At 43.8% G+C, this 12174-nt stretch overlaps 1 long non-coding RNA gene and 1 pseudogene across 1 annotated transcript in view; one reads left to right on the top strand and one right to left on the bottom strand.

The window, feature by feature from the left end:
• The window catches only part of CMKLR2-AS (CMKLR2 antisense RNA), a 62868-nt gene that overhangs the window by 22244 nt on the left and 28450 nt on the right, over window positions 1–12174 (bottom strand). The window contains exon 2 of the long non-coding RNA NR_104359.1: window positions 3412–3557. This is a non-coding gene — a long non-coding RNA (CMKLR2 antisense RNA). The remainder of the gene's footprint in view (window positions 1–3411; window positions 3558–12174) is intronic.
• Window positions 7117–7834, top strand: ATP5POP1 (ATP5PO pseudogene 1; annotated as a pseudogene).

Genomic DNA, 12174 nt, shown 5'->3' with positions numbered 1-12174 from the left:
CTTTCATAATGATGATAGTTCACATGTTTATAGTGATCACCTTTTGTTGAATACTGCTCTCTATTATATCCAATTATGTAAACCATTTGAAATGGAGGAACTATACCCAACTAATTAAGTTATTATACTAGGTGACTGACTGGTTGAGTTGGAAGATTAATTGTTTTTCTTTTTTTGTGTAAAAACAAACATAAAATTAGCACTTCAGAGAGTGACCCTGGATGACATTTTAAACACATGTGAGCTCTGCTTTGCTTCTACACGATACCTGAGGGAGCACTATGACCTCTCCTTATTGAATTCCTTATGCGCTAAACTTTAAACAGATTACTTTCTTGGGCCAGGCACAGTGGCTCATACCTGTAATCCCAGTGCTTTGGGAGGCCAAAGCAGGATGATGGCTTTGGGCCAGGAGCTTAAGACCAGCCTGGGCAACATAGTGAAACCCTGTCTCTATAGAAACATAGCTGGGCATGGCGGCATGTGCCTGTAGTCCAAGCTACTCAGTAGGCTGAGGCTAGGGGATTGCTTGAGCCCAAGAATTCAAGCTGCAGTGAGCCAAGGTCACACTACTGCACTCCAGCCTGGGTGGCAGAGCAAGACCCTGTCTTCATTTCACCTTACTCGAAACTTTGTCATCTAGGGATTGCCAGTGATACCAACAAGGCCTCCTGTTTTTTGGTGTTCCAAGAATACATACTTAATCCACTGGTGGGCCTCTGTGGAATTTTAAAACTCCACTCAATGCAAAGTCCACTTGGGAACTTCCTGGTCCTAGTTGAGTTGAACACAGTTGTATTTATCTGGCCTGGTTAAATTCTGAAATCCTACACGTAGATCAGCAACGCTGGCATTACTGGTTTTAAGAATTAAAGCAAGAGCCTTCATTGCTGATCTGAGTTAGATGTGGATTTCAAAGAGGATAGTAATCGACAGTGTTGTTGAGAATAGCACAGTGAAAAATGTAAAGGTCTACGCAAATATATTTTGCTTGTAACCTGACATTTTCCCTGTTCCCAGTGTGTACAAATGAGGTAGCATTTAGAATTGTAACTCAGGATTGGGGTGTCCTCATTGGCTGGTCCATTGCCCACTGTGTTTGCCCAATAAGTATATCACACTTTCTTATTTGTGAACTGAGATTAGAGGTGACTTCAAGTGACAATATGTTGTGATTCAATAACATCCTTCTAAAAACATGATGTTGACTACTTCAGAATTAATATTAGAACACTTGGAAACATTTCATTCAATAGCTGTGATGGTATTACTTTTTTTTTCTGGAGGCGGAGTCTCGCTCTGTCACCCAGGCTGGAGTGCAATGGCTCGGCTCACTGCAACCTCCACCTCCCGGGTTCAAGCAATTCTCCTGCCTCAGCCTCCTGAGTAGCTGGGATTACAGGCACCTGCCACCACGCCGAGCTAATTTTTGTATTTTTATTAGAGAGGGGGTTTCACTATGTTGGTCAGGCTGGTCTCAAACACCTAACCTCAGGTGATCTACCCACCTCAGCCTCCCAAAGTGCTGGGATTACAGGCATGAGCCACTGTACCCAGCCAGAATTACTTTTTTTTTTTTGAGACGGAGTTTTACCCTTATTGCCCAAGCCAGAGTACAATGGTGCGATCTCAGCTCACTGCAACCTCCGCCTCCCGGGTTCAAGCGATTCTCCTGCCTCAGCCTCCCAAGTAGCTGGGATTACAGGCACGCACCACCACATCTGGCTAATTTTTTTGTATTTTTAGTAGAAACGGGTTTTCACCACGTTAGCCAGGCTGGTCTCAAACTCCTAACCTCAGGTGATCCACCCACCTTGGCCTCCCAAAGTGCTGGGATTACAGGCATGAGCCACAGCACCCAGCCCGGAATTACTACTTTTAAAAATCAAAAGTAACCTTAAGTTGTTTTCATCACCCCTATTTTCGTCCTGCATTACTGTGCCTTCTTTCAGGAAGAAACTAGCCTACAGTATAGTCAGCATATTTTGTGGTCCTACTGACTTGTGAGCTCATGTTCCCAACCATTTGCCAGGTTTAGTTTGTAAGAAGGATGACGAGGAGAAGGTTATAAATAATTGGTTCTGTCCCTGGCTGAAAAGCCATCTGTTTCCCATTTGTGGTTTGGGGTAATTTACTATCTCCAGCGTCCTACCTTTTAGATTAGGTAGAAAGAGAAAGTCCATTCTCAGATCCATTTTTTATAAAGTTAACACCATAACAACAGCTTAGATAAGCTCACTTTACATCCAGTTGTAGTTTAAGCTTCACAATACCCTGGTGTCACTGATTTTGTTGAATTGTATTTGGGTAACAGGTATGGGAAGGCATTGCTAAATTTTATGCAGAATTTGTGCCTTTGAGAAATAGATATTTGCTATTGGTTTATGGTAAGTAATATAAAATATAAAAGTTCTTTTGTTCATGTAAGTTGTGAGCTTATGTGTGATTTTTAACTTTTTTTTTTGAGATGCAGTTTCACTCTTGTGAAACTGGAGACTGGAGTGCAATAGCGCGATCTTGGCTCACCACAACCTCTGCCTCCTGGGTTCGAGCGATTCTCCTGCCTCAGCCTCCCAAGTAGCTGGGATTACAGGCATGTGCCACCACATCTGGCTAATTTTGTATTTTCAGTAGAGACAGGGTTTCTCCATGTTGGTCAGGCTGGTCTCGAACTCCCGACCTCAGGTGATCCACCCACCTCAGCCTCCCAAAGTGCTGGGATTACAGGTGTGAGCCACCGCGCCCAGCTGATTTTTAACATTTTTAAATTTTTAAATAATTTCAGAACTCTCCGATCTGTGTTTAATTTCTTAAGGATATTGTGAAGTTACTTATATATTAAGCCTACACAACTGTTGGAACAAAATACTGTTTCTGCTAGAAAAACTTGTCAATGTTCTAATGATGGGGTCCTGTTCTCCAATATTTGTCTACTGTTTTAAAAACACAGCAAAGAAAAAAAGAAGGAAGGTAGGCAGGCAGGCAGGCAGGGAGAAAGAGAAAAAGAGAAGAAAAAAGAGAAAGAAAAAGACTACATGAAAAGAAGAATGATAGAAATATAATAAAATAAAACTCAGCCTTAGTAAGTCACAAAAGAGATGCTTAATGGAAAAAAAATAAAAAGCAAACCTAGTACTTGCCAGATATTTTCTAAATATTATTTAGTAATGCATACAACAAACCATAAAATGAAAATTATTATTACTATTTTAACTGTGAGTAAATTGAAACTCAGAAAGTTAAGTAGCCAACTCCAGGTCACAAAGAGAGAAAGACACTGGGTAGGAGTCCAGCTTCAGGTGTAAATGACTTCAAAGCTGCCCTACTCTGTGTACCTCAATTAAAGATGACTCAACTCAAGCTTGGGACTAGTGGTGACTCCCAACGTGGAAGGCTGGATGCTTTACTTACATAGCAGAACCCTCCATTTGAGCTACATCTGTCCACTTCTGCTCTGATTCATCCATGCCTGTGCACATCTGGAAGGCCTTGGAGCAGTTCCCGCCAGAAATCTGTTTGCATGAGTCAATGAAGAGCCTCCTGAGAGAAAATTGATCCTAAGGGAGAAAACAGTAGGGACGTTGACATTTGTCCAATTACAAAGTCCTCAGAGTGAAGGAAGGAGCAGAGGAAACTGGTTTTAAACAGTAAGGGGCAAGGCTACATATCAATGCTGGAAGATGCTGGTACACATGCAGCCCAGCTTTCCTATCGTCTCTCTAACAGGGATGTGGGAGGGCAGCAGTCCCCCAATCCCCAAGACGGACCACAGACCAAAGCATTGCTCTGACCCTAGGAAAGGGCCTGTTTATGGGTGACAGGAAGGTTCAGATCCTAGTGGAGGAACCAGCAGTAGTGCCTGGAATAGAGCCCATATCCCAGGCATGGAGGAACAAGAGGAAGTAGTTGCTGGAGGAGGGTTAGAAGTGCTGGACAGAGGCCGGACACAGTGGCTCACACCTGTAATCCCAGCACTTTGAGAGGCTGGGGCAGGTGGATCACTTGAGGCCAGGAGTTCGAGACCAGCCTGGCCAACATGGTGAAACCCCGTCTCTACTAAAAATACAAAAATTAGCCGGGCGTGGTGGTGGGGGCCTGTAATCCCAGCTACTCGGGAGGCTGAGGCAGGAGAATTGCTTGAACCTGGGAGGTGGAGGTTACAGTAAGCTGAGATGGCACCACTGCACTCCAGCCTGGGTGACAGAGTGAGACCCTGTCTCAAAAAAAAAAAAAAAAAAAAGTGCTGGGCAGAAATGGTGGCTCTCAGAGAATATAGCCCAGAGTAGGAAAGGGAGCAAATGGCTAAAGCCATCTTTTAATTAGCCAGTTTGGTGTTAAGGAAATGTAAGCCACCCCTAGTGAGTCCATGAAATGGATCCAGTCTTCTGCTCCACTGGGAGTAGGGGCCAGTAACATCCACACAAAATGCATACATTATCTCATTTAATGCTTACTGCAACCTAATAAAGTCTCAGTGTTGCTACCTCCAATTTATAGTTATTTTTAAAAGAAATGAGGTTCAAAAAGGATTAACAACTTTCTAGACTCACAAAAATAAGTAGTTGTGTTAATAAGAGGTTATGTCAGCAACTTGGCAGTATAAAAAACCCTGAATTATCCTTCCCCCCTCCCCTCCACATACTGATTCAGCAAAAATTCATTGACAAAATCCCTTTGCAAAAGATCAGAAACTACCTGAAAGGCTCCTGCACCCCCAGAAAATGCTACATCAGACTCACTAAAGCCAGTAAGGAGACTAAGGACACTCTCTCACTGGAGACCCTGCCCCTAACCCCATGCTGTATGACCATGAGAAGATCCCCTCACTCCCAAGCTTCCACCAGAGGAGGGGAGAGGTTGGTCTTTGTGTCCAGCACCCCAACTCTTGTGAGAGGACTTCCCCAAACACTAGCTTTTATTTTGCCAGTCCTGGAAGTCTCATGATCAGTTACAGTTTGGATACCGAGGGGAGAATGGAGGTGGAGTCTCTGGCTGATAGGTGCCATTGGCCCTTCCCCTTGCACAACACAGAGCTTGTGGATTAAAAAAACGTCCAGTTCTCAGCTCCCAGGGAAGAGAGAGTTGGCCCAGCAGCCCCGCTTATCAAAAAGAAAAAGATAAAAAGTGTTGACAAGGATGTGGAACTCCTGTACACTGTTGGTAGGAATGCAAAATGATGCAGCCACTATAGAAAACAGTTTGGAGTTTCCTCAAAAAATTAAAAATAGAACTACCATGTGATCTAGCAATCCCACTTGTGGGTACATATCCAAAAGAATTGAAATCAGGATCCCAAAGAGATATCTGTACCCCTGTGTTCATTGCACCATTATTCACAATAGCCAAGATGACTATGGAAACAAACTAAATATCCATTGAAGGATGAGTGAATAAAAAAAATGTGGGGCCAGGTGCGGTGGTTCACGCCTGTAATCCCAGCACTTTGGGAGGCTGGGGTGGATGGATCACCTGAGGACAGGAGTTCGAGGCCAGCCTGGCCAACATGGTGAAACCCTGTCTCTACTAAAAATACAAAAATTAGCCAGGCGTGGTGGCATGCAACTGGAGTCCCAGCTACTAGGGAGGCTGAGGCAGGAGAATCACTGGAACCTGGGAGGCAGAGGTTGCAGTGAGCCGAGGTCGTGCTACTGCACTCCAGCCTGGGTGACAGAGCGAGACTCCATCTCAAAAAAAAAAAAATGTTTTTGACATGTTTAAATGGTTGTTTAAAAAAAAACAAAAACAAATAGCAACAAAAAACAGAAGACTATGTCACAGAGACTGTATATCAGATCAGTGGCCTGTTAGGAACCAGGCTGCATGGCAGGAGGCAAGTGGCAGGCGAGAGAGCATTACCGCCTGAGCTCCGTCTCCTGCCAGATCTATTAGATTCTCATAGGAGTACAAACTCTGTTGTGAACTGCACATACAAGGGATCTAGGTTGTGCACTTCTTATGAGAATCTAATGCCTGATGATCTGAGGTGGAACCGTTTCACCCTGAAACCTTCTGCCCCATACCCTCATCCATGGAAAAATTGTCTTTCACAAAACCAGTCCCTGGTGCCAAAAAGGTTGGGGACCACTGCTATATGTGGTCCACGAAGCCTAAAATCTTTACTATCTGGCCCTTTGCAGAAAGTTTCCCGACCCCTGTTAGATCTTTATGACCAGACATGGAAAGATTTCTAAGCAAAGTTATGGACTAGTATTAGCATATTTATGTTTTTAAAAATTCTTAGATATGTGTATGTACCTCTATGTACATATACAGGCACAGACAAAAGATTGAATCAATAGCCAGTAAACTGCTGTCAGTGACTCCCACTAGGAAGCGATGTGGGAACTAAGTGGGTCGGGATGTTTACTTTTTACTCTACAGATTTGTTCTGTTCTTGTCTTCTACAAAGAGAATATATTCATGTATTACTTTTTTGTTTTGTTTGTTATTGTTGTTTTTGTTTTGAGACAGGGTCTCATTCTGTCACCCAGGCTGGAGTGCAATGGCACGATCACAGCTCACTGCAGCGTTGACCTCCTGGGCTCAAGCAATCCTTCTACCTCAACCTCCCGAGTAGTTGGGACTACAGACGTGCACCACCGTGCCTGGCTAATTTTCATATTTTGTTTGTTTGTTTGTTTGTTTGTTTGTTTTTGTTTGAGATGGAGTTTCACTCTGTTGCCCAGGCTGGAGTGCAGTGGCATGATCTTGGCTCACTGCAACCTCTGCCTCCCAGGTTCAAGCAACTCTCCTGTCTCAGCCTCCCGAGTAGCTGGGACTACAGGCGCATGCCACCACTCCTGGCTAATTTTTGTATTTTTAGTAGAAATTGGGTTTCACCATATTGGTCAAGCTGGTCTTGAACTCCTGACCTCAAGTGATCCACCCACCTCCTCCTCCCAAAGTGCTGGGATTACAGGCGTGAGCCACCACACCTGGCCTTAATTTTTGTATTTTTTATAGAGACAGCATCTTGCTATGGTGCCCAGGCTGGTCTCGAACCCCTGGGCTCAAGCAATCCTCCCACCTCTGCCACCCAAAGTGCTGGGATTACAAGCATGAGCTACCACACCTGGCCTATGTATTACTTCTATAATTAAAAAATAGTAAAAGGGTGCCCGGGAGGTGATGGCCACCCCCCAGCAGTGTCTGGGCTCTCCTGGCAGGTGTGATGCTTCAGTACATCTGTGGTCAGACCATTGTCAAGCTTGTGAGGCCTCCTGTTTAGGTACACAGTATGGAAGGTCGCTATGCCATGGCTCTTTATTCTGCTGCATCGAAACAGAATAAGCTGGAGCAAGTAGAAAAGGAGCTGTTGAGAATAGCACAAATCCTAAAGGAACCCAAAGTGGCTGCTTCTATTTTGAATCCCTGTGTGAAGTGTTCCATTAAAGTGAAAAGCCTAAATGACATCACAGCCAAAGAGACATTCTCTCTCCAACCCTGATCAATTTGCTTGCTCAATATGGTTGCTTAAGCAATACCCAAGGAGTCGTTTCTTCTTTTTCTATCATGATGAGTGTCCACCGTGGAGAGGTACCTTGCACAGGGACCACTGCATCTCCTTTAGAGGAAGCCACACTCTCTGAATTAAAAACAGTCCTGAAGAGCTTCCTAAGTCAAAGCCAAGTATTGAAATTGGAGGGTAAGACTGATCCGTCAATCATGGGTGGAATGATTGTGCGCATTTGAGAGAAATATGTTGACATGTCTGTTAAGACCAAGATTCAGAAGCTGAGCAGGGCTATGCGGGAGGTTGTCTAAAAGTATTGGTTTTCTACCATCACTGAAAATTCTTAAACTTGGAGCAACAATAAAAAGCTTCCAGAGCAGAAAAAATAATAATAAAAATACTACTTGAACAAAATAATAAATAATAATCTTTAGCCCTTCAAATTTCTACTTTTCAGCCAGGCATGGTGGCTCACGCCTGTTTTCCCAGCACTCTGGGAGGCTTGAGGTGGATGGATCACTTAAGGTCAGGAGTTCAAGACCAGCCTTGTCAACATGGTGAAATTCTGTCTCTACTAATAATACTTGGATAAAAATTACTAGAATACACACGGCAGATTAACATTCAGTATCTACCTAATCTCTTTCTAGTGTGCTCTCTTATATTGAAGATGAAAGATCAAAGAAAAAAAATTCTACATATTTCAGACTCCCTTGCAGCTAGGGCTCTGGGTGTGATTTAGGTTTCTTAAATCAGATTATGAGGTAAGAGCCCTCCTTTTTTGTTGTTTCTACATTTACACTTTAAAAATGGTCACAAAGAGGCTGGGCATGGTGGCTCACCCCTATAATTCCAGCCCTTTGGGAGGCTGAGGCAGATGGATCTCTTAAACCCAGAAGTTCAAGACCAACCTGGGCAACATAGCAAAGCCCTGTCTCTACAAAAAATTAAAGAGTTAGCCAGGCATGGTTGTGCACACTTGTAGTCCCAGCTACTTGGAAGGCTGAATTTGGAGCCTGGAGTTCAAGGCTGCAGTGAGTTGTGATTGTGCCATTGAACTCCAGCCTGAGTAAAAGAGCAAGACTCTGTCTCAAAATAATAATTTTTAAAAAATGGTCACAGAGGTGTGTGGTTTCTCTAGGGTAGGATTAGCAGCATTCAGGCACTAGCTCCTCTGTCAAGGAGCAGGCTACAGCAGGTACAGCTCCATTCTAAAGCTGGTCATTGTGGAGACAGGTTTCTACTCATGACGGCTTCCTGATTGGATCAGTGATGGTATGACTTCATGGCCAACAACTGTTACAGCAGCTTCCCCATTCAGCAAATGCCTTCCTGACAAGAGAATATGCAGCAGCTTCCTTGGTGTTCTGATTCTGCAGTGTGGCTTTGAGAATCATTTCTGAATACTCAGCCTAGAATCTTGTTTCTTTAGCCCTTCAAATTTCTACTTTTCGGCCGGGCATGGTGGTTCACGCTTGTAATCCCAGCACTCTGAGAGGCTTGAGGCAGATGGATCATTTGAGGTCAGGAGTTCAAGACTGGCCTTGTCAACACGGTGAAATCCTGTCTCTACTGAAAATACAAAAATTAGCCGGGCATGGTGGTGGGCACCTGTAACCCCAGATATTCAGGAGGCAGAGGCAGAGGCAGGAGAACAGCTTGAACCCAGGAGGCAGAGGTTGCAGTGAGCCCTGATTGTGCCACTATACTCCAGCCTGGGCAACAGAGCGAGACTCCAACTCAAAAAAAAATCAACTTTTCTATAGCTTGAGTAGATTCTGTTCTCTAAAAGTGAACCCCAATCAACACAGCAACCTAAGTCCTGTAACAGAGTTATGAGAGTAAAGAAGGAATTCTAAGGAGGTCACATACATTCTTTCTAATCCTCACAGCAACATAGGAGGTAGGACTCTCATTTTAGAGGAGAGAAAATAAAACACAGGAGATAAAGTTCCTGAATCAGCGTCATATAATTATTAACTAGCAGAACAGGGACTCGAACCTATATCCATCTGAGTATAAAACCCATTTCCATACACACAAAAGCATGGATGTCAACTTGGCAATGCGATCCTCAGGCTCATTATGGAGGTGGTGGTGGTGGGGTTGTTTCTGTTACCATTAAAGTACAAATGCACGCATGTACAGCAACAGGACAGAGGTTAAATGTTGGTAGATTTATGTGACCCAGAGTATTTATCTTTTAAGTATACTCATGGCTTTTAATCTTTGGGGATGGCGGGGGCGGTGATCACAAACCCAACCACTGAGAATCTGATGAAACTACAAATCTTTTCTCCAGAAAAAGTTCACACTCAATTTTAAGGAGTTTATGTACCCAAGTAAATAATACATTCAATAAATGTTATTGAGCTTCACCGAGTCCTAAGGTTGTAATAATTTGTATCATCTTTTTTATTTTTTGAGACAGAATCTCACTGTTGCCCAGGCTGACGTGCAGTGTCGTGATCACGGCTCACTGCAGCCTCAACCTCCTGGCTCAAGCAATCCTCCCACATCAGCCTCCCAAGTAGCTAGGACCAGAGGTGCATGTGTCACAACACTGGGCTAATTTTTTTATTTTTTGTAGAGACGGGGTTTTGCTATGTGCCCAGGCTGGTCTTGAACTCCTGGGCTCAAGTGATCCACCCACCTCAGCCTCCCAAAGTGCTGGGATCACAGGCGTGAGCCACCACACTTGGCCGTTTGCATGATCTTAAAGCAGCTACAAATTTCATTCTTCCAAAGAACTGGTTCACACAATCTTCCTAGTGAACTTTTCTTAACAGATTCATCTGTTCAAATCATTCCCAATTCTAGGCATTATTCAGGGTATCAGAAGCCCTTACCACTGTGTCATTCTCACAGGGTTCCACCCAAGTTCAAATATGACAGAACCTCTAGCCTCACACAGTATCTGCCATCATGTGTTTGCTTTATGGGAAAACATCCCTTTGTGCCTGGTTTGTCCATGAACATATTACTGCGCATTCACTCAGTTAAATTAAACAACTTAAGCCAGGCACAGTGGCTCATGCCTGTAATCCCAGCACTTTGGGAGGCCGAGGCGGGTGGATCACCTGAAGTCAAGTGGATCAGCTGAAGTCAGGAGTTCGAGACCATCCTGGCCAACATGGTGAAACCCCGTCTCTACTAAAAATACAAAAATTAGCTGGGCATGGTTGTGGACCCCTGTAATCCCAGCTACTCAGAGGCTGAGGCAGGAGAGTCACTTGAACCCAGGAGGAGGAGGTTGCAGTGAGCCGAGATCACGCCATTGCACTCCAGCCTGGGCAACAAAGCAAAACTCCATCTGAAAAAAAAAAAAAAAATTAAGCCACTTGATGTAATGCATATTTCCAGGCCACATGAGCCTGGAGGTTAAAAATAATCAAAATAGACATCACCTAAAAGGATAACCTTGATTTCATTCTCATTTATGCTGTAGGAAATCCAACCATCCATCAAATTCCTCCCAAATGGTGCCACTTAGCTCTATTGGGTGCCTCCAATGTACCCTTGAAGCCACCTTCCATGTACCTCACTCAGCACTTAAATCTGGTGCCAGAGCCTCTAAAGCGACCATAATGTTGCAAGACCTGATATTCTCCCTGCTTTTACTCCGTAAATCCCTGTGTCCACCACCCGCTCCAACTGCATCCAAGGAGAAACATATCCTGCCACTGGATGGAAGTAAAACTGCATAAAAGCAAGCTTACTGCAGTCATTTCTGCCTTGCAAGAGACCATAGTCCATGCACAATTCATATCAAGGGGCAGAGAAATTTCTTCACTGCTTCCATCTACTGCAAACAGACACCGGTGGAGGCAAGAGGAAAAGGAAGACTGAAATGTCAAAGACACAGCTCCTCTATGTTGCTAAACTGCGTGATACAGAGAGTAGATGGCATGTTGTTTTCACGGAGATATTCATGAGACTTCAGCTATAAGACCAAAGGCCTGAAAAACTAAGAGAGGGCAGAGAATTTAAACTAGTAGCAACTGAAATACAGAGAGTAGGTGTATTGGTTTAGGTTTTACAAAAAGCAGCTGCTAAGGAAGGGCTTAGGTGTAGGCAGGTTGCCGGGAGGTGTTGCTAGGAAACAGAAGTGAGGGGGTGGGTAAAGTGAGAGACAGGAAAAAGAGAGAAGCCATGAAGGATTTTTGTTTTTCTGTGTTTTTGTAAACTAAATTTTATTTTGTTAATTGACAAATAATAATTGTATATATTTATGGGGTACATAGTGATGTTGCAATACATATGTAGAGTGATTAGATCGGGATAATTAGCATATCCATCATCTCAAACATTTATCATTTCTTTGTGTTGGGAACATTCAATATCTTCCTTCTCACTATTGAAATGACATAATATATTATTGTTAATTATAGCCACCCTACAGTGGCATATGTTAATAAGAACACTGCTGGTGCTGGGACTCTCCGCAGAGCTCTGTAGAACATGCTACACAATCTCCCCACTGTGAGACTGGGAAGCTGGGGTATTTATCTACCTACATATGCTCCCCATCAGCTCTGGGTTGGTATTAGAGCATAAACCCCCCTGTCGCAGGCCCGGTGTCTCAGAATGCCCTTAAGCAGTGACGCACTTAAGGCCCTGAAGTGAGGAATAGTCAGTGTGCCTGATAACCAGCCACCAAAATTGACAGGTGACCTCAGAGAGGGCAGATTGCTTTGTGGTGAGATAGACTCTCCAGGGGA

Source organism: Homo sapiens, chromosome 2 (genome assembly GCF_000001405.40).
Source record: "Homo sapiens chromosome 2, GRCh38.p14 Primary Assembly".
Classification (NCBI taxonomy): domain Eukaryota; kingdom Metazoa; phylum Chordata; class Mammalia; order Primates; family Hominidae; genus Homo; species Homo sapiens.
This window is presented reverse-complemented; position numbering and strand designations above follow the sequence as displayed.